Genomic DNA, 22,134 nt, shown 5'->3' on the forward strand with positions numbered 1-22,134 from the left:
TAGTCAGTAAATATGTTCGGAGATCCTACCACGCGCTAGGCGCCGTTCTTCCTGCTTGGGAGGGGTAAATACCTAGAAATGCGCGAAGTGTGGCTGGGCGTTGCCAGGAGAGCGGCCGGCACCCCACGGGGGCAGGGAGCAGACCTGACTCAGTGGCGTCAGTGCTACTTCAAAGCGGCAGCGCATTTCATTAAAAATCTGATGTAGAAATTACCCTGGGCTTTGTTTTGCAAAGAGCATTTGCATAAGAAAAAATAATCAGCCGGTTAATTCCCCCGTCCACTGGCAGGAAGAGAGACAGCCTTCAGAGAGTTTGGGACTCTCTCATTCCCGGAGAATTAAAAGCCTCCGAGACATCCATTTTAGAAGTTCTGGTCAATCGTTCTTAAAGTGCGGTCAGAAGACCCCTTGCGTCTGAATGGTTTGGAGCACTCATACAAGCAGAATCCCTGCCCCAGTCTTGAGTCTGGGAACGGAGAAGGGAGCGTCAGCGGGGTGGTGAGGGGGTAGCGGGGAGGGCGAAGTTGACCGTGCCAAGCCGGCCCGCTGGAAGAGCTGCAGGGACCAGACGGGGAGCAGACGGAACAAGCGTGCTGATGGTAAGAGGCCCCCAGACTTTTTCTTTCCCTAACCCTTTCCCTGTCTGGGCCTCCGTTTCCGGTTTTCCGGTTGGTGCAGTGCTCTCTGGGGTTCTCCCAGGGGGACTGTCGGTGAGGCTGCGGCGCCCGAGACCGCTCCACGTGCAGCTCCACGGCGTGCCCACCAGGGGGCGCGGCCCGCATCCTTCCTCGGAGCTGCGGCGCTCCAGGACCAGCAGGTCTCCCGCAAACGCGCGCGCACGGAGAGCACAAGGCGTGTGGCTCTTGGCATGTGTGCCGGTTGGGGTCCTCTGGTAAGCAGACGCTGAGATGGCGTTAGGAGTGCAAGAAGTTTGTTGGGGATTTAAACCTGTGTAAGGACGACTGGCGGGGAGAGCCTCAGACGGCAATGCAGATCTGACCAAGTCTCTGCCAGCCCAGCAGGGAGATCCCGGTGGAGACTGCCGATTTGAAGAGTCCCGCAATGGGATGACGTGGCCGGGCACTTGCACCCGTGCAGTGCTCAGGCATTGGCTGGGGGCTGCCTGGGAAGATCCGGATATTGAATGTGAAAGACAGGAGGTGCTGGAGGCTGCTAACTGTGCTCCCTACAGCTGGTCTGCAAGTTCATTCATTGTTTTCTTCCTTTCTTTCTCTTTCTTTTTTCTTTTTCGTTCTTTTTTTTCTTTTTCTTTCTTTCTTTATTTTTTTTTTTCTTCTGAGACAGGTTCTCGCTCTGTCACCCAGGCTGGAGTGCAGTGGTGCAATCATGGCTCACTGCAGCCTCAAACTCCTGGGCTCAAGCGATCCTCCCACCCCAGTGTCTGGAGTAGCTGGGACTACAGGTGCATGCCACCATGCCCAGCTAATTAAAGACAATTTTTTTTGTAGAAACGGGGTCTCAATATATTGCCCAGGCTGGTCCTGAACTCCTGGCCTCAAGTGATCTTCCTGCCTCCGTTTCCCAAAGTGTTAGGATGACAGGCCTGAGCCACCGCGCCCAGCCTGCAGGTTCTTTCTTGAAGGGAAACACCAGCAGCCGGCAGTGTGCAGCCTCCTGTCTCTCTAAGCACTGTCCTCCACATACAACCCATCTTCCTCCTCTCTGCTCCTTGCTGGTCAGGGCCGCTCTCCAGCTGTGCTCCCTAGACTCCTGCCTTTCAGGGCCAGCTTTCAGGACCTTGAGGGCAGGGTGCTAGGCATAAGCCAGTGATCTTACTAGTGGATTCTGTACGAGGGAAAAGCCTGCACAACCCGAGGGGACCAGAGGAAGCAGAACCGCAGCTCTCCTCACGATCTTGTGGGGACTTGTGCAAATTAGCACCACTCTTCTGGGTTTCCCATGGCACAGCCCGGGTAATTTTCCCTAGCGCCTCCAGGGATAGGATCCAAAATGGGAATTTAGGAGGGGCCATATTTCCCCCAAAGGAATGGCACACAGAGAGCATAGAGCTCTGGTGGTTGTTGAGGGATTTATGTTCCCTCCACCCCGCGTCCCCCAGGCTCCCAGCACAACTTTGCCTCTCAATACTGGTTGGGTCCCAGGAAAGGGAGCTTGAAGAGGGTTTTTTTCCAGAATCTGTCAGGCCTGAGGGTGCTCGGGAGATAAGGGGGAGGGGCTGGGAGAGGGCTGGGCTGGGACAGTGGAAGAGCTCCTGCATATGCCACGCTGGGCGGCCCCCCTCCCAGCTCCTCCCAGGCACGGTGATGCCCATCTGCCATTTTGGAGCGTTTGGGCAGTGCCTGCAGCTCACTCTCCCCGGTCCAGATGGTCACCCATCCCTCCCTCCCCGACTCTCCCCTGCCCTCACCCCCAGCCCCACTCAGAGCAAGCACCTGGACAAGCCAACACTGCCTCCCAGCGCCTTCCCCTTCCAGCTAACTGGGGCCCAGCGGGACAGGTAGAGGGTCCCCGGTTGTCAAGGAAACCAGGCCTGCCCCTCCTCCCTCAATCTTGCTGCAGGGAGGGAGGCAGACAGCTGGGTGGGAGGGTGGAAGATGGACAGAGATGCAGATACAAACAGTAGGAAAACATGCAGAGAAACACGCACACACCCAGAGCCTGAGAGAGGGTGGGCAGAGTGTACAGGATTTGTTGTGACTGTGCTCTGTCTGTTATCGTGTACAGGACTGAAAGAGTGTAGACAAGTATGCAAATATGTGCAGGGCCATGTGCCTGTGTGAGCGGAGCATGTTTCCGTGGGTCTGAGAGTATGAGGCCATGGTTATCCTGCTAGTGTGCTTGGTGAGCCTGTGTGCGTAGTTGTGCATGGGAATGTCAATGAGTAGTAAAGGGGTGCCTGTGAGCATGACCGTGAGTGTGTGTTGTGAGTGTGTACACATGCGTATGAATGTGGATGAGTAGGGGGAGGGCTGTAAGTGCCCTGTCCCCCCACTGGCCTTGTCCCTTCTCTACCCTAAAGGCAGGCCAACTGGGACAAGCTCCTACCCAGTGGGTACTGGGGCCCAGGGACTGAGGAGAAAGGCCTTAATGATGTTGTCCTCCAGCCACCCCTTCCCATGCCTCCATGGCGTCTGTCAGGGCAGTCCAGTCTGGAAGAAGTGGGCTGGTGAGTCCCCAGGACTACACAGAGGGGTCTTTGGGTGCTGAGCACTGGGTTGACTATGGGGTGCAGGTGGGAAAGCCTTGAAGGAAAGAGTAAAGGCCCTGGTGCAAAGGCCTGGCTACCCTAGCAATCTTGCCCTCACCTTCCAGGCAAGATTGTACTGCTCCTTCCCTTCCTCTTCTCCTGAGACTGTAGCTCCCTGCACAAGAGTTATATTTTTCCCTTGAACTGGGAGCCTCCCTAGGATGGTCCTGATTTTCCTCCCTTACATCAGATGTTCCCAGAGTATAGGGCTCATGTCTTTACATTCTTATTGGAATAGGGTTCTCAGATAAAATATGGGTGGCTCAGTTACATTTGAATTTCAGATAAAAACAAATAATTTTTAGTACAAAGGAACCCCAAGTATTGCAGTGGGAAATACATATACAAAAAAATTACTCATTGTTTCTTGAAATTCAAATATAACTGGATCACAGAAAAATCACAAGAGAAATGAGAAAATTATAAAATACTTCGAGACAATGAAAACAGGCCAGGCACGGTGGCTCATGCCTGTAATTCCAGCACTTTGGGAGGCCAAGGCAGGTGGGTCACGAGGGGTCAGGAGATCGAAACCATCCTGGCTAACACGGCGAAACCCCGTCTCTACTAAAAAATACAAAAAATTAGCCGGGCGTGGTGGCAGGCGCCGGTAGAACCAGCTACTCGGGAGGCTGAGGCAGGAGAATGGCGTGAACCCGGGAGGTGGAGCTTGCAGTGAGCCGAGATCATGCCACTGCACTCCAGCCTGGGCGACAGAGCAAGACTCCATCTCAAAGAAAAAAAAAAAAGAAAGAAAAGAAAACAAAAACGTAATATACTAAAATGCCTAGGATTCATTGAAAACAGTGGTTAGAAGGAAATATAAAGCTATAAATTCTTATAAAGGAAGAAAGATCTCAAATCAATTACCTCACTCCACACATTAAGGAACTAGAAAAAGAAGAGCAAACTAAACCCAAAGCAAGCAGAGGAAAGAAATAATAAAGATTAGAGTAGAGACTGGCCAGGCACCATGGCTCACACCTATAATCCCAGCACTTTGGGAGGCCCAGACAGGAGGATCCCTTGAGCCCAGGAGTTTGAGACCAGCTTGGGTAATATAGTGAGACTACATCCCTACAAAAAAAACACAAAAATTAGCTGGGCGTATTGGCGTGTGCCTGTAATCCCAGCTACTCGGGAGGCTGAGAATTGATCACTTGAGCCTAGGAGGTTGAGGCTGTGGTGAGCCTTGATCGTGCCACTGCACTCTAGCCTAGGCAACAGAGTGAAATTCTGTCTTTAAAAAAAAAAAAGAAAAGAAAAGAAAAAGAAAAAAAGAAGAGAAAAGAAAAAAATTAAGTGGAGATAAATAGAGAACAGAATAATAATAGAGAAAATCAATGAAAACAAAAGCTGGTTATTTGAAAAGATCAACAAAAGTGACACACCTTTAGCTAGACTGATTAAGAAAAAGGAGATAAGACTCATATCACTAATGTCAGAAATGAAATTGGGGACAATACTACCAACCTTACAGAAAGAAAAAAGATTATAAATGAATAAGAACAATTGTATGCCAAAAAACTAGATGAAATCCGCAAATTCCTAGAAAGAACTACAAAAACTGACGAAGAAACAGGAAACCTAAACAGCTATAAGAAATAAAGAGATTCAGTAAATAATCAAGAATTCCCAACAAAGAAAGGTCCAGGACCAGAAGGCTTCACTGGTGAATTCTACCAAACATTTAAAGAAGAATCAAAACCAATTCTTCTCAGATTCTTCCAAAAAAATAGAAGATGAGGGAGCTTCCTGGCTCATTCTATAAACCCAGCACTACCCTGATACGAAATCCAAACAGACATCACAAGAAAAGGAAACTGTATGCCAATATCTTTTTATAAACATTAGATGGTCTAAGTTCTAAAACTTAGACCATTGCTGTGCTTATTGTCGAATGTGTTGAGGGGGATAGCAAAATACTGCAAATTGGCACTTTTTATTACTTTAATAAATATTGTTTTCAGCATGTGAGCATTCCAATTATGCAGTGGGCTCTGGCATACCTAGACTCTGCTGTTAATGTGATTGCTTGGAGAATAATTTCATAGCAGTGAAATCTTTTTTTTTTTTTTGAAACAGGGTCTCACTCTATTGCCCAGGCTGCAGTGGGGTAGAGTGATCTTGGCTAACTACAACCTCTGCCTCTTGGGCTCAAGCGATCCTCCCCCATCAGCCTCTCGAGTAGCTGGGACTACAGGAGCGTGCCACTACAACCGGCTAATTTATTTTATTTTATTTTTTGTATTTTTAGTAGGTTTTGCCATGTTGCCCAGGCTGGTCTCAAACTCCTAGGCTCAAGCGATTGGCCTGCCTTGGCCTCCTACAGTGCCGGGATTACAGGCATGAGCCACAGTTCCTGGCCCAAAGCAGTGAAATCTTTCTTTCTTCTGGTATAGTTTGTATCTTAGCGGATTCAAAATTATCACTGATGATAGAGTCATTGTAAAGATAAAGAAATGGAACCTGAGTTACTCAGTTTGGTTGCTCCTTCTAAAGTAAACGGTCAAATCATATCAATGTTCTCCATCTTTCAGCCATTTTATCTGATTTTTGCAGAAGAAAAACTTCAGAAGGTGCTTCCCAAATAGAATGAACAAGTTTTCTGTTGAAAATATTTTATTAGAAATTTTTGGCTACAGAAACATGTGAAAACCACTATGACTGATCCTGAAGAAACAAAGCTATAAACAGTATTGAAATTTCTGGAATTTTTTTTGTGAAATGGAATTTTCAGAATCTCTATAAAACCTATCCTTATAGTTAAGATTTTCCTAATTTACATATTTGTTGCTTCATGTGAAAGTAACTTTTCGAAGTTACCATTAATTAAAAAGTGTTCTTTAATTAATTATGAGCAAAGATAGATAGACAAATATTGCTTTACTGTCTACTGAACATGAATTTAAGATTAATTTTTATGTCATCCACAGATATGCACAAGCTGTAATGTTTTTAATTGCTACTGTGACAGATTAATATATTGATATATTTTCTCCTGTTTTGAAAAACAGTAATATAATTAGAAAGTACTAATCCATTACTATTTTCCTTATTTTTCTTTTTATTTAAAAAAATTTTTATTGGCATGCATATATATATGCATATATTCATGTGCATATAGATATATTCAAGTGCATATATATATATATTCATGTGGATGTATGTTGCCTGCCCCCTCCCCTAACTCTGACTCATTTCTGCTCCACAGGCCTCTTCTGTGGTTAAGGAGCAAATATATATATTCATGTGCATGCCAATAACATTTTTTCAAATAAAAATAAATATATATATATATATTTATAAAGCTCAACAAAACATTTTCTCTGTCTGCATTTCTTTTCCAACATTTGTTTTCTTTCTTTTATTGCCAGATTCTGACTGAAAGTTAGTTCATTGTATAGTGGACGGGATGACCCTCACTCCATGTATCAGTTGCTCTAGGAGGGCCACTGGCTGGGAGAGGTATTTGTCTATAGCCCTAAGGAACCAGGCCTGCCTCATGCTCACGCCTCTCATTCCTTTCTGGAGCCTTCTGTTCTGGATAGAAATAATACCTGCTTGGGCTTTGCTGGAGCACCTCAGCCTTTGCTGATGGTTCCCCAGTTTCCCCCTCTCCCCTGGGGCCTGGCTGCTTCCTCTGCCATGTGGTTCCAGGCCCACAGCCAGCAGGGAAGCAGACCAGGGTGAGAGCAGAAGGGAGCCTTGGGGTGTTAATTGGTGCTAACGAATTCCCGCAGCCCCATCTTTCCTCCACCTCTGTGGAGAGGCAGCTGACAAATGCCATCTTTGCATTTTGCACACTGAAGTCAAGCAGTCCCCTTCCCCATGCCTGCGTGCCCTGCCTGGATGAGGAGAAGGGGTTGGGGAGAAAGAGGATCCTTTCTAAGCACTTTTCATGTATTTTGCTCATTTAACCCTCATAACATGGTAGGGTCCTGTTAGAAACCCTGTTTTACAGTGGAGATGCAGCTGATGTGTTTTGAGTCCTTACTCTGTGCCAGTTCCCCTGTGAGGTGGCTGCCGTCATTATCCCCATTTGATAGGAGAGGAAACAGGCCCAGAGAGGCTAAGTAATTCAACCAAATCCACACAGCTAGAGAGTAGGAGAAGCAGGATTTGGACTCAGGCTGGCTGGTTCTAAAGCCTTATCTTCCCGATCACCACCCAAAATATCCTCTCTGAAGGAACTCCACTTAAAATCGGGTCTCTGAGCCTGTGGGTACCAAATGAGAGGTGCCTGCAGGGATGCTGGTTCCTCCCCTTCCCTCCAGCCTCGGGACATGCCTGCTGGGAGTCAGGATACCCGGCGGACTCTTCATGGTCCCAGATGCTTTGCTTGCCTGGGCTGTTGCCTGTCCCCACACCCCTCACTCTGCCCCATTCCTGCTCCACAGGCCTCCCCTGTGGTTAAGGAGCAAATAAGGCTCCATGAGCCTGACTTCCCTTCCCTGGCCTGGAATTTGGAGACAAAAAGTCATCCTGGATGGGGAGGGAGCCTGTATATCCAGGCACCCTTGGGGTGAGCCCAGCATGAGACAGGGTTATGGAGGCCCAGGGATGGCCTCCCTTGGCATTGATTTAGTAGCTCCCAAAGCTACCAAACACAGCGTCATGTGCAACACACACATATACACAACTCGTTGGGGTTTGCCTTACAGCAGCTCAAGCACCTGAGCTTGCCAGCGAAGAGGCAGCGTGTCCAATAAATGACTCAGACTGGCTGATCCCCACTCTCCCACTTGGGTCTGAGGTTCTCTGTTCTCTGGGTTCTGTGCTTCAGTTTTCTCATCTGTGAAGTGGGTATCATAATAAGACCTATAGCACAGAGTTACTGTAAGAATTAAATGAAACAGGGTATACCATGTGCTTAGAAATAGTTCTGTCTCACAGCAAGTCTTTAGGGAGCCAAAGATCACCTCCAACCCCCCTTCGGCTCTCAGTGGGCTCTTTGCCTGGATCTAGAAACCCTGCTGACAACAGTCAGACTAACAAGAGAAAAGCACATAAATTGTATTAGTTTTACATGTACATGGGGATCTCCATAAGAGAGTGAAGTTCAAAGCGGCCAAAGCAAAAGATGCCTTTATACTTAGACAAAGAAGGATAAGTATGAGAAGAAGTGACAGGACAAAGGGGGTCTGACTAGGGGCAGTAAATTTCTAGGGAAGTCACCAGGAGATACATGGAGATGTAGAGCTAGTGGAAGATAAGGGTTACTTTGGAGAGTATTTTTATGCAGGTCCATTGCAACTCCCAATTCTGTCTCTGCTGATAAGAGCTATTTTCTCACCCTGGTATGGAGAGGAACCCCCTCCCAGAGGAATGTATAGGGCTTGCTGCCTGCAGGAAGAGACAGGTCAGCTCGCCCTTTCTGAAACTACAGTTTTTCCAATGTTTTCAACTCAAAATAATTAATACACCAATTTGGCGTATTTTCGGAAGGCATGCCCTTCACTCCTTCAAAGTCCTGTAGAAATGTTGGCTGTGAAAGGCTGGGCACGGTGGCTCATGCCTGTAATCCCAGCACTTTGGGAGGCCAAGGCAGGTGGATCACGAGGTCAGGAGTTCAAGACTAGCCTGACCAAGATAGTGAAACCCCGTCTCTACTAAAAATATAAAAATTAGTCGGGTTTGGTGGCAGGCGCCTGTAATCCCAGCTACTTGGGAGCCTGAGGCAGAGTATTGCTTGAACCCAGGAGGCGGAGGTTGCAGTGAGCTGAGATCACTCCACTGCACTCCAGCCTGGGCAACAGAGTGAGAGTCCATCTCAAAAAGAAAAGAAAAGAAAAGAAATATTGGCTATGATCATCATTTGTTATTGTGAGGCCAATCCCCAGTGATCTGGCAATGGGGCCACCCCCTGGGGTTCCTTGTAGGGTCAACCTGGGAGACACAGGGATAAAGTTGGAGGTTGAGTACAGGCCACTGAGTCTTCCGGAACCTGCTTTACCACTGACCAGCGGTATGACCCAGGACAAGTTACTTCTCCTCTCTCCCTTCCCTGCACTGCCCCCCACCCCACCCCCATCCCCACAACAATGCTTCATTTTCTCATCTGTAAAGTCGGAGCGGTTATAAGGATTAAGTGAGGTAATGTGTATAGAGTGCCTAACACAGTGCCTAGACACAAGTGCTGGCTACCATTTTCATCATCATTTCCATCATCATCACTATTGCCCTTTACCCTCTGAGAGGTTGTCAGAGGGTAGAGAAGGGAAACAAAGAACAAGTAGTATTATCTTGGTTTGTAGCTGAGGACACTGGGACCCCAAAAGTCAAAGTGATTGACCTGAACTCCCACTGTAGATTTCTGGGACATCTGGGATTTAAAAACATAATAGTACCAATCCCTTATGTCAATAAACCATCCTACCATTTACAACTTCTTTTTATAGGCATTAGCTCATTTACCGCAGCCTGAGACTTGAGTGATTTTGCCCCCATTTTTTAATAGATTTTATTTTTTAGAGCAGTTTTAAGTTCACAATAAAATTGAGCAGAAAATACAGCAAGTTGGGAGCTGAACAATGGGAACACATGGACACAGGGAGGGGAGCAACACACACTGGGGCCTGCCAGCCAGGAAGGGGAAGGAGAGCATCAGGAAGACTAGCTAATGCATACGGGGCTTAATACTTAGGTGATGGCTTGATAGGTGCAGCAAACCAACATGGTACACGTTTACCTATGTAACAAACCTGCACGTTCTGCACATGTATCCCAGAACCTAAAAGAAAATAAAAATTTTAAAAAGCACATAAAAAAAAGAAGAAAAATACACTAAGTTCCCATATGCCCCCTGCTTCCACACACACACAATCTCCCCCACTGTCAACATCCCCCACCAAAGTGGTACATTTGTTACAATCGATGAATCTACATTAGCATGTCATTATCACCCAGAGTCCAGAGTTTACATTAGGGCTCACTGTTGGTGTTGTATATTCTATGGGTTTTGACACATGTATAATAACATGCATCCACCATCACAGTATCACACAGAGTAGTTTCACTGCCCTAAAAATCCTCTGTGCTCCACCTGTTCATCCCTCCCCACTAACCCCTGGCCACCACTGATCTTTTCGCTGTCTCCATAGTTCTGCCTTTTCCACAATGTCATCTAGTTGGAATCATGCAGTCTGTAGCCTTTGGAGACTGGCTTCTCTCACTTAGTGATATGCATTTAAGGTTCCTCTATGTGTTTTCATGACTTGATAGCTCATTTCTTTTTGACACGGAATAATATTGCATTGTCTGGATGTACCACAGTTTATTTATCTGTTCACCTACTGAAGGACATCTTAGTTGTGCCCAAGTTTTGGCAATTCTGAACAAAGCTACTGAAAACATCTGTGTGCTGGTTTTCGTGTGGACATAAGATTTCAACTCCTCTGGGTAAACTCCAGGGAGAACGATTGCTGGATCATATGGTAAGAATAGGTTTCGTTTTGTAAGAAATTGCCACAGGGTCTTCCAAAGTGGCTGTACTGTTGCATTCCTACCAACAATGAATGAGAGTTCCTGTGGCTCCACATCTTCCCCAGCATTTGGTGTTGTCAGTGTTTAGAGCTTTGCCCCCAATTTGCAGATGAGGAAACCGAGGTGCAGAGAGTGAAAGGCTTGCCCAGGGAGTGGCAGAATTGCCCTCCCACTCCACCTCCTTCTCACACACATAACCCCTACAGTGCACAGGCTGATGTGTGATCTTTGGCTGAGGAGTCATTGGTCAGTGGGGTCTGTGGCCTTGGGAAAGTTCTCACCTGCAGAGAGAGGCTACTGTACTCTGGTGGGTCAGCTGGGCAAGAGGCCTTACAGAGGTGATAAGAACAACAGTGCAAACTTGCAGGGTCCACCATTTCTCTTGCCATATGTAGATGACTAGGTGGCATGGTAGGAAGAGCTAGGCTTGGAGTTGGATACGGGGTTTAATCATAGGTCTGCCACTTACTAGCTATGTGACTGCATGTAAGTCATATAGCCTCTTCCAGCCTAAATGAGTGTAACTTCATGGGATCCTCGGAAGGAGCAAGGGAGGCTCTGCATATAGAGTACTTGCATGTAAACACAGCAGTTGTTTAGAGCTTGCACCATCTATCTGCATAAGGACTATTGATCTGTGGTTTTCTTTTCTTGTGATGTCTTCGTCTGAATTTGGTAATGCTGGCCCCATAGAATGAGTTAGGGGCTACTGTGGATCTTGATCATGAAGTCGTAAGACATCGAAGGAAACTTCCGGGTGGTGACTCATAAGCTGGTGCTCTTACACTGAGGCAATATCAGAGGCTAAGATTTTCAGAAAAGCAGTGTGCCCACAAAGTGAGCTGATCAGAGGAACCCCAAATACGAAAGTTGAAGTGCTTACAAGTTGTCCTTTTGTTCTCTTGTGAAGTACAATGAAGGCTTTGGAAGCTGTGGTCTGTCCCAGTTACACTGAGGGGAATAGTCAGTGTATTTCCCTTAGGGAAGGAAAGGGTCTGTGTTCAAACAGTCAGAAGACCCCCATGGTGCAGCAGAAAGAGCCGAGGATGGACCCAGGCCCACTACACGTAGTTTTTTTTTTTTTTTTTTTTTTTTTTAGAGACTGGGTCTCACTGTATTGCCCAGGTTGGTCTCCAACTCCTGGACTCAATCCTCCAGCCTCAGCCGCCCACAGTGCTGGGATTACAGGCATGAGCCACTGTGCCCAGCTATGTTATTATTCCTAATCTTGAATTCCTATTTTTGATGATGGCACAAAGCACTTAATCAGGATTTTGTTCTTTTGGAAGAAAGTGCGAAGGAAACAGAGAGGAGGGAATGGATGATTGACATCTAAAAGCCATGCCCCAGGCTGTGGAAGAATTTGGGATAGTGATCTGGATGGTAAATATCTCTTTAAAGAGCTGCCCAAGCACATTTAAATGAGTTTCTTTGTTAGTTTCTGAGGAATTTCCCTGTAACCTTCCTTTCCCATCCTGCCCCAGCCACCTGTTCTGTACTCAGTACTCAATATTCAGTACTCAGTACATGTAAATACAGATGCAACCAGCATTAAATACACAGTAGTAGGGGACATAGGGAACTGCAGAGGCAAGGAGATTCATATTATTTTAATACAAATAGATCCCTAAGAGCCATGGCATTGTGAATAACAGCAGCATTGTCATCTTTTTCTCATGGTGGGAGATAAGAAATTAGCCAGGAATGACATTTGACAATAAAGAACACAAAGAGATGGTTCCTGGACCTGAACAAGAAAAGATAATTCTTGGACACTGCCAAAGAATCTTCACATGCACAGATTGGAAAATAAACAAATATGTTACTACCTCTTTTCTCCTCATTATTGTAAACCTTCATCAATACATCATAATACCTCATATAGGCCAAGAATTTTTAATTACATTTTAAAATCAAATTGTTTATATAGACACAGGTCCCACACACAAAAAACATTCGCCCAAGGCACTGCACAAGCTGAGTACAGCTGTAACCGGTAACCTGGGAGATAAGCCTTGTTCTTGGGAACAGGAGTTTGAAACATCTTTGATCAAGAAGAGACCCTGGCAACCAAAGCCTGCTCTTTACAAATATAACGGGCTGAAATGCAGCAATGGCAATGCCTGGAGGTATTTAGCCCCAAGGAGGTGGTAAGGGCTGGGAGCTCAGTGCAGGGAATGAAATGATGTAACCGGGGTGGTGGTGGTGGGGTCCCCACTGTAATGAGAAGGCTCTCTGCTGATCTCTGAAGGAGAGAACTCCTGAGGGGGGCAGACACAGAAGAACAGGGATAAGCAGGACCTGGGGGGCACTGCCCAGGACTGGTCTGGCCCAGGGGCATCTGGGAAGGGGCTGTGGGCTGTCAGTGGATCTCCAAGGCCTTCCTCCCAGTTCCAGAGGCCCCACTCTTGCTCTCCAAATTGAGGAGCAGCTCTTCCAGGAGGCAATCAGGGACTTGCCCTTCCAGTCACTGGCAGCAGCTGCAGGTTCAGACTTAGAGGGAAGAGTGCAGGAAGTCCAGGATGGTCCCAGGAGCCACTAAATCTGCATAGGATTTTAAATCAAAGCATGAAATGTCAATGCTACTGTCCCTTGCTGGAGCTGTTTCACGTTACCTGCCGCTTGCCTTGCTTTTGCTCCCTGCCATGCTTGTAACCTCCTTGTCTTCGGTGGAAAGATCTAAGAAGCCTCTGGCTCAGGCTGAAAATTTGGCTATGTTGTTCAGCTATGTTGCCTGAGAGATGGAAGGTGAAAACAACTCCTTCATATCTGTTTTGCATGATTTATCTGACAGGGCACTCACCACACCTTATCATGTAAATCCGTGGTTCTCAAACTGGGGCAGAAGGGGTGTCAGAATACCTCCTTGCTGCTCACCACCCCCCAGCTCCAGGTTTCTGAATCAATCTGCCTGGTATGGAGCCCCATAATTTGCATTTCAAAAAAGCTCCCAGGTGAAACTGAGGCTGGTTTGGGGCCCACACTTTGAGAACTGCTGATTAGGTGTTATCAAAATTTAGATCCTAAACGACTGGAAGGATCTGGAAAATCTGGTTCCAGAAAAGGCTGGAAATCTGGTTCCCAAGTCCCAGCTGGCTCTATACAAGGGACTGGGCTTCTTTGCCATCATGGCCCCAAGGAGATTCTAGGGGAGCAGCCCTCTGGGAGGAGGCTGCCCTGGGGTTTCCTCACTGTGCCCAGGTCTGCGGCTCCTTCTCCCTGGTTCATTTCCACACATGCACACACATGCACAGATACATACAGTCCTACACACTCATTCTCACATTCAGACACACACCCACACACACTTGCAGAGGGGGTCGGGACCAAGAGGCAGCTGCTCAGGTGAGGGCCCCCCAGCCAAGGATGCAGCCCGTAGAGGCCTCAGACCAGCCTGTGTTCAGGTGGCTCCCTCAGTGATCACCCCTCAGAGGTGAAAGACAACACCCCAGGGCAGGGCCCCCCAACCCCCAGCATCCCCCATGCCAAAGTCGGCATATGTGCATTGTACAGAGGCCACGGAGAAAAGGCAAGAGAGACAAAGAGAGAAAGAGACTAGCAGTGGGACAAAGAGAAGAGAGAGACGTCCACAGAGACAGGAGATGGAGACAACCACACAGAGAGATGAGAAGGGCAGGAGGGTGGAAATAAGCAGATCTGGTGGGGGCAGAGCTGGAGGAGAGACAGGAGGAAGAGCAAAACCATGAAGGTCAAGGGGATGGCAGCAGAGAGGTGCGCCTCTGCCAGGCCAGAGAGCAGGGAAGGGTTGTGGTGGGTAGAGGGCAGGAAGGGGAAACGGGCATCCCTGAGGAAGTGTGGGGAGGTGCAAAGCATGGAAAGGTGAATGCAGCAGAGAAGCAGGGCAGGGTGGGAGCTGAGGCATGTGGTGGGGGACAGCGGCTGGGTGACAAAACAGACAGAAAGGGAGAAATGGGAGACCCACATACAGAGAAGGAGAGACCCGAAGCTGACTGAGCACAGCACTATGTGCTGGAATTACTAAGTGAAAGAGCCAGTCCCCGTCCTCAAGCCGGGGATGCTTCATTCTCCAGGAGCTTGTCAAATACACAAACAGAAAATGTTAAAACCATCCACAGGAGCAGAGAAAACGAGGCTCAGGGAGTTGTGGAAAGCAGCACAGAGGCTGTGCAGCTAGACCATTCCAATCACAGTCTAGGAAGGCTTTCTGGAGGAGGCGATACCTAAGGAAAGACTGAAGAAGGGTCAGCTAGGTGCTGACGGGGAGAGAAGGGCCAGGTTATGGTGAGATGGGAAGCCTGGGGGATGGGGGCAGGTCTTGGAGGACCCTGTTGGACTTCAACCTGAGGACACCAGGGAGCCCCTGATGGGGTTCAAGCAGCCAGATCTGTGTGTGCAAGAGCTGCTGGGGGAGAACAGACTGAGTTGCACAAGAGAGCAGGCAAGAGGGCAAGTCCGAGTGGCCCAGCAAGGGAAAATGCTGAGCTAGGGCAGTCGCTGTGCTGACAGAGAGGTGGGAGGGAACTTGAGAGCTGCAGGAGCTTGGAAGCCTGATGAGCTGAGGGGGCCAGCATGTGGGCATGCCGCCTGGGGTGGCATAAGCGAGGCAGGCAGCAAGGGGTGGAGGAGCATCTCCCTCTTAGGGGCTCTACAGCTTTGGGAATCTCCCTGTGGCCTCTGCCACAATGCAGCACCCACTCACCCATGGTCTGGGATGGGTGCCCACAGCTGCAGGTAATCCTAAAAGACTGCAAGCCCAAGCCCTCCTCACTCTGTAGAGTAGCACTCGGTACAGGGCCTGGGCAGATGCTGGGCAAAGAAGCACATTAGGCAGGGCAGAGCCTCACACCGAGAGGTCCTCATTCCTTGCTATAGGGACCTGGACTTGAATCAGGAGGTTATTAAGGTTGAAGATAAAGGTGCCCATCACAGCCTTATTGATCAGCGAGGCAGTTATCCAGCATCTCCCAAGTGTCAGCCTTGTGATTTTAAAAAAGAGAAACAACATAATTAGAGCCCATAAAGAGACAGAAGCAAATATATTTCATTATGATTATAATACAGGGTGAATCAGGCGACCATGGATACAGCGCCAGGAGAGCTACATGCAGAGCTGACACTTGAGCTGGGCTTTGAAAGATGAATAGGAGTTCGCCATGCTGAGAAAGAGGGCTAGGGCCCCAGAGGCCCAGGAAAGAGCATGGCCTAAAGCATTGAGGCATGAAAGTGTCTAGAAGAGACCAGAACTAATACTGCAACGTCTTATTTACCCCACAATGTGTACCGTATCCCCTCAGGCTACCCCACCTCTGAGCTCACCTGCAGCTTAGAGCATCTGAAAGAGCCCAGACTTGAGCTGACAGCATCCCACCTCCATAAGAACCAGGGACTTTTTACTTTCTGCCCCAGGACATTCTCTGAAGCTGAGAGGCCTGCTCTGCCCTCCCAAAAGCATAGCCCTGAAGTGCAAGAAGGTAATGCCCTCGGGTCAGCCCTCAAACAATGGGGAAGAGGAGGGTGGATAAACACCCGCTAGGCTGACAGGCAATTCTGTATCTGATCCACGGGTCTCTGGGGAACTGAGCCTCACTCCTCTGGATGCCTCCTGCAGTGACCCTGAGAATACACCTTTTTCTTTTTTTTTTTTTTCCTCTGAGACTTCGTCTGTCACTCAGGCTGGAGTGCAGTGGCGCGATCTCAGCTCACTGCAACCTCCGCCTCCCAAGTTCAAGCAATTCTGCCTCAGCCTCCTGAGTAGCTGGGATTACAGGTGCCCACCACCGCGTCTGGCTAATTTTGGTATGTTTAGTAGAAATGGGGGTTTCACCCTCTTGGCCAGGCTGGTCTCGAACTCCTGACCTTGTGATCTGCCCCCGCCTCGGCCTCCCAAAGTGCTGGGATTACAGGTGTGAGCCAACGCGCCCAGTGAGAATACACCTTTATACTGGTGTATTCACCTTTGCTCCTTCTCAACCGCACTACTCCCCACCTCCACTGCCCCAATCTTCCACTCCTGTGATCACCTTCCAATTAAATCACCTGCATCCAACACCTCTCTCAGGCTTTGCTTTGGAGGAAACCCAAACTAAGATGGGCTATGTTACTGGAGACCCAGGATGAGTAGTGTTGTGGTGTTAACAATCGCACATATAAAATGCATGTATTGGCTGGGTGTGGTGGCTCACACCTGTAATCCCAACACTTTGGGAGGCCGAGGCGGGCAGGTCACAAGGTCAGGAGTTCGAGACCAGCCTGGCCAACATAGTGAAACCCCATCTCTACTAAAAATACAAAAATTAGTCAGGTGGGGTGGCGGGCACCTGTAGTCCCAGCTACTCAGGAGGTGGAGGTGGGAGAATCGCTTGAACCCGAGAGGCAGAAGTTGCAGTGAGCCAAGACCACGCCATTGCACTTCAGCCTGGGTGACAGAGTGAGACTACGTCGCAAAAAAAAAAAAAAAAAAAAAAAAGAAAGAAAGAAAGAAAATGCATGTATTTCTCAGTATCTCCTACATGCAGAGGCCGTGACTGGGCACAAGGGGATGTGGCATTGTCTGAGTTTGCCCTTGCTTTTCTAGACCTCCCTTCTGCCTGGGGAGATGTGACAGAAGAGGTGAGCCAGCAGCACAGGAGGGATCAGAAACATTTTCCTTCTGCCTTTGGAGAACATCACATGGGTTGGGGGCAGCAGATTGATGTTCCTAATTACATTTGGCTCAAGCTGCTATTAAGTACTTGTCTCATTCTCAGAGCCCACAACAACGGCGGATGGCGGGAAAGGTGCCAAGAGGCATGCTGGGAGCTCAGGATGACAATCTGGGATTTGAAATCTCTGTAAGATATAAAAGTGGACAGACAAGTCACAGCCATGGGTGCAGGGTGACTGGTGTCCTTGAGTTGCCCTTTAAAGGTTTCCGATGGGGTCCTAGGGCTGGAAGGGCCCTGGAAAGGTCTTGAGCTCCATCCTTCTGGCTAGAGGCTGACCTGCCCAAGACAGCTGAGACAGGGAATCTGACTCTTCCAATGCTGGACAGCTCGCTGGTGGGAAATGCTTTCATGGGCCTAATTTAAATTTCCTCTGCTGCAGGTTAAAGGTATATTTTGCTTGATTTGTTCTTGGTGGCATTAAATATTTGCTAAGCTCCTACTATGTGCCCAGGGGTACACAGTGAGAGAAGGCATGCCTCTGTGCTCAGAGGCTCATGAAAATGAGACCAGACCCTCAGAACTAAATGCAACAGGGAGAGCCATTGGGCTGGAGTTGTCAGGAGAGGTGGCAAGGAGGTGGTGCCGTGAGAGGTGGGATGCGTTTGAGTTAGTGCAGAAGAATAAGAGAGCATTCCTGGCAGGCAAGCAACGTGGGAAGATGCCTTAGGAAGGGTTTTGCACAGAGGAGACGCCTGAGGTCTGCAGCACATCTGCTACCCAAGAGATTTAGTAAGTCCCTGGAACTCCCCTGGGGAACGAATAGCTGCCTACCTATGTCCTAAGACACCTGTGAAACTCAAATAAGGCAGCAAGTAGGAATGGACCCTGCAGTTCACGGATTCAAAGCACAATGCTGAGCTTGATTTAAGAAGACTTTCATTCAAGTCCTCGCTCTGTCACTGTGTGCTCTTGGGCAATTCCCTTCCCTTCTCTAAATCCGTTTACTCATCAGCAAAATGGGGACGGTAATTCTTTCCTCACACTGTTGCATTTAGGACTCCCAAGAAAATGTGGTTAAAAATGGCAGGGCCGGGGGCGGTTGCTCATGTCTGTAATCCCAGCACTTTGGGAGGCCGAGGCGGGTGGATCACGAGGTCAGGAGTTCGAGACCAGCCTGGCCAATACGGTGAAACCCCGTCTCTAATAAAAATAAAAAATTAGCCGGGCGTGGTAGCGCGTTCCTGTAGTCCCAGATCCTCGGGGGGCTGAGGCAGAAGAATCGCTTGAATCCAGGAGGCGGAGGTTGCAGTGAGCCGAGATCGCGCCACTGCACTCCAGCCTGGGCGACAGAGTGAGACTACTCCGGTCTCAAAAAAAAAAAAAAAAAAAAAATTGCACAATGACCCACAAAGCACTTCCTGGAGGCTGGTTACTCTATTATTATTGCTCCAATCTAGACACTGGTCTCCCGGAAGGCAGGCATCCCATCTCCTCTCTGTTCCCCCAGCACTTTCCACAGAGCAGGTGCTCATATATGACGTTGCCTTCGCTGTCCAGGTGAATTGCACCGGTAATTACCGTGGAGCAGGAAGCCAGCACTTCCGGGCTTGCCAGGCTGTCCTGCTTGGAGAACCCCTCTGCTTCCACCTCTGCTAACTCCTCCCCTCCACCCTCTCCGCGGTTCTGTATCTGCGGAAACCGGTTCTGCTCAGGTGCTTGGGAGGGAGACTCCTTTCTCAAGACTTGCGAGGTCACCTTCAGGTGACTGTCCCTCAAATCTCCGCAGCAGCTCCAGGACACACTGTGCCCCGAGTCAGGATTGGATCAACACACAGGACGCACCTGTGTTATCACTCCACCAGTAGAGCGGCACTCAGTGGTAGTGTAGACAGTCCTAGGGCAGGGCAGCTTCTATAACAAGAGGTTCCTTAGGGAGCTAGCGGCCGAGTGGAAAGAGCGGGAGGAACGGCTCGGGCAGGCAGGTCCTGTGCTGTGGTCTAAGTCACTTCCCACGTCCGTCCCACTCTGATCGTCAGTTTCCTCCTCTGCAAAACTCACTAAGGCGGCCTTCGGGCAAGTCATCGCGGCGGGAATTAGATTCGAAAGAGTGCTTACACAAATCCGTCTGGCCACCCTGTGCCCCGGGCCAGCGCGAGGTGGGGGTGCGGGCAGGGCTCCCGGGCTTGCGGCTGCCACGCCCCTCCCAGCCCGCCGCGCCACACTCACGGCCCACGGGCCGACTTTGCGAGCCTCCAGGGGGCGAACCCGACCGCCTTCTTTGCCCGCGCAGCGCCTCGGCCGTCCAGCCTGTGACTTCACCAGCGTCCCCGGGCCAGCGGGACACCCGAGAGCCCGGGGCGCCGCCCGTTCTCCCAGCCGGCAGGTGCCGGGAGCCAGCCTCGCCCAGCCGCGTGGCGTCCGCAGGCCCGAAGGGGTTAAGGCCGCGGACCCGGGCGCCCGTCCGGACTCCGGGAGCAGCGGTGCCCGGCGGCCGGCGATCGAGCGGGAGGCTCGGGGCACGGCCGCTGGCGGGCTGCGCTTCCTCCTCCTCCTCCCTCCGCCTCCTCCTTTGTAGCGAGTTCCCGGCCCCTCTTCCTCCCCCCGCCCCCCAGCCCGGGCCCTCTCCCTCTCTCCCTTTCTTCCTGCCTCGCCTTCCTGCGGCGAAGGAGGCTCATCTATTATAAATGCACATTCGGGGCTGACATCAGCGACGAGCGGCGGGCGAGCGCCGACGAGCGGTCCCTGCGCGCTGCCCGCCCGGAGCGCAGCCCCCAGGCTCGGCCGAGCCGCCGGCGGGGCGCGGGGAGCGAGCCGGGAGCTGCCGGACCCCCTTCCGCCGCCGCCCCGGGCCGCCGCCGCCGCCCCCGCACGCCGCGCCCGCGCCCCCGCTCCGCCGCGGAGTTTCTGCATGACTGTCACAAAGGTAAGCGCCGCTCGCCCGCCGCGCCCGGGACCCGCCGGCGCCTGCATCCCCCGGGCTAGGCTGCGGGGGGCGCGGGGGTGTGGGTGTGGGGAGGGGGCGCCGGTGCCGGGAAGGTGCGGCGCGCGCCTCTCTTGCTGCCGGATCCGCTCGAGTCACTCCGGCCCCCAAGGACTGCGGAGGCCAGGGGGAGGATGCCGCTCTGGCAGCCCCGGCGGTTTGGCCAACATCCCTCCGCGCCCGGCCCAACCCCGGGACTGCATTTTTAACCCTTGTTTGGGATGCTGCATTTTTAACCCCTGGAGAGCTGGGCTGGGCGGCTAGCGGTGTCCCTCCAGGGAGTGCGCGGCGGGAAGCGTCGCTGGCAGGGGCTGGTGCTGAGCAGTGGGTGTGGGGATGGGCCTGCCGCCCCGAGGAGGCCAGCGGAGGGGAAACCCCACCCCACCTGCCAGCCTCTGCCGCCCATGCCGGGAGCGCTGGCTCCACTCCAAAGCCACTCTGTGCAGAAGGCGCTGCCCAGTCCCGGGAGCCGCTACCAGAGACAGGGCAGGTCCAGGTGGTTGGCTTGAAGATGTGGGGAGGGAATGTGACAGGGGAAGCAAAGGTGGGCATCTTGGCAGCCCCCATATTGGAGGATGATTGTTGGGCCTTGTCATAGGGGCCCACGTTTATTGGAGAGACTTCAGGGGCTTCCTAGTTGTAGGGAGGAAAGAGTTAAGAGGAAAGATGATGGGGCAGTGGAAAGTGCCAGGGTCAAGGGACCAGGGAGACCTGAGTTCAATCCCAGCTCTATCCCAGATCCCCTGGATGACCTTGGTCGGGGAGGGGTCCACTTTGGGCCTCAGTTTCTTCTTGTGTGCTGTGAGGGTGATAATATGGGTCCTGGGTTGTGACAGGCTGTTAAAGAACCAATAACATCAAGGGTGTGAACCCACACTCTTCAGAGAGATCTGTCTGGGTACTGAGCTCACAGTCTGGCGGTGGCCTCGGGCTTGGCCGTCCATTCAAGGGCCAGACTCCACCCTTTCCAGCTGCCCAGCTGGGTCCCAGAATTGGGGAGCTGGAGGCCAAAGTGGGACCGGCAGCCCAGAGTGGGGTCAGATGGAGGGTCAGAGCAGTGGGGCCAGATGGAGGGTTGGGGTGCAAGTGATGGAGGTGGGGTGGTTTTGGCTCCTTCTGGTAAGCCAGGGCCTACCCTTGCCCTCCTGAGGTCTGCCCCAAGACTGAATGTTTGTGCGGATTCTTGGGCCCAACTCCAAACTTTGCCATTGGCCCTGGTTCTGGGACTTGGGAGCATTGTGAGAAGATGAACTTGAGGGTGCAGGGGCTTCCTCAGCTCTGGCTACTTCTGGCAGGGCTGTTGTGGCCCACCTGGGGTAAGATGCTTAGGGTTTTGAAATGATGCAAATGCTATTCAGCTGGGAGGGATATTAAGGTTATTAATGTCAAAGATGCAAGCAGGCTGGGACAGAGGAGTAATGGATGGGCCCGGCTAGAGAGAGAAAGGGTGTGAGGTTTTAATAATAGCGCTGAGGATTAACTCAGCGCCTCCCCTGTGTCTCTTTTTGTGCGCGAGCTCATGCAGCCTTCCTTCCCTGGAGGCCTGCAAGGAAGGTGTGTTCAGTTCTCTTTAACAGTGGAAGGAACTGAGGCTCAGAGAGGTGAAATGACTTGCCTGAGGTCACACAGCATGTATGTGGCAGAGCTGGGGTTTGCCCTCAAGTCTGTCTCAATCTATGGCCAGTGATCTTTGCACTGCTCTGCATCGTTGGGCATCCTGGCTACTGGGGGACTTCCATGGTAGAGGAGCACTGCTTGGAGACCTGAACCTTGAAGCAGGGATGGGACAGGGAGTCCATGAAAGTGGGTGCTTA

General features: G+C 50.6%; 1 protein-coding gene across 2 annotated transcripts in view, besides 1 other annotated feature; it reads left to right on the forward strand.

Annotated features, from left to right (window-relative positions):
* Positions 1 to 22,134, forward strand: part of CORO2B (coronin 2B) — a 209,434-nt gene that overhangs the window by 40,642 nt on the left and 146,658 nt on the right. The window contains exon 1 of one of the 2 annotated variants that reach the window (NM_006091.5): positions 19,979 to 20,263. The exons of the other annotated variant lie outside the window; for it this stretch is intronic. Coding sequence (NP_006082.3) covers positions 20,249 to 20,263 — 15 coding nt within the window. The 5' untranslated portion in view covers positions 19,979 to 20,248. Of the gene's footprint in view, positions 1 to 19,978; positions 20,264 to 22,134 lie in introns of those variants that run through there. 2 annotated transcript variants of the gene reach the window in all.
* Positions 20,167 to 21,034: an enhancer, noted in NCBI's record as "H3K27ac-H3K4me1 hESC enhancer chr15:68871520-68872387 (GRCh37/hg19 assembly coordinates)". NCBI's record gives its function as "activates a minimal SCP1, AML or CMV promoter by ChIP-STARR-seq in naive H9 embryonic stem cells {active_cell/tissue: H9 hESC(naive)}" and the evidence as "EXISTENCE:reporter gene assay evidence [ECO:0000049][PMID:30033119]".

The sequence above is a fragment of the Homo sapiens genome, chromosome 15 (genome assembly GCF_000001405.40).
Source record: "Homo sapiens chromosome 15, GRCh38.p14 Primary Assembly".
NCBI classification, from domain to species: Eukaryota; Metazoa; Chordata; class Mammalia; order Primates; family Hominidae; genus Homo; species Homo sapiens.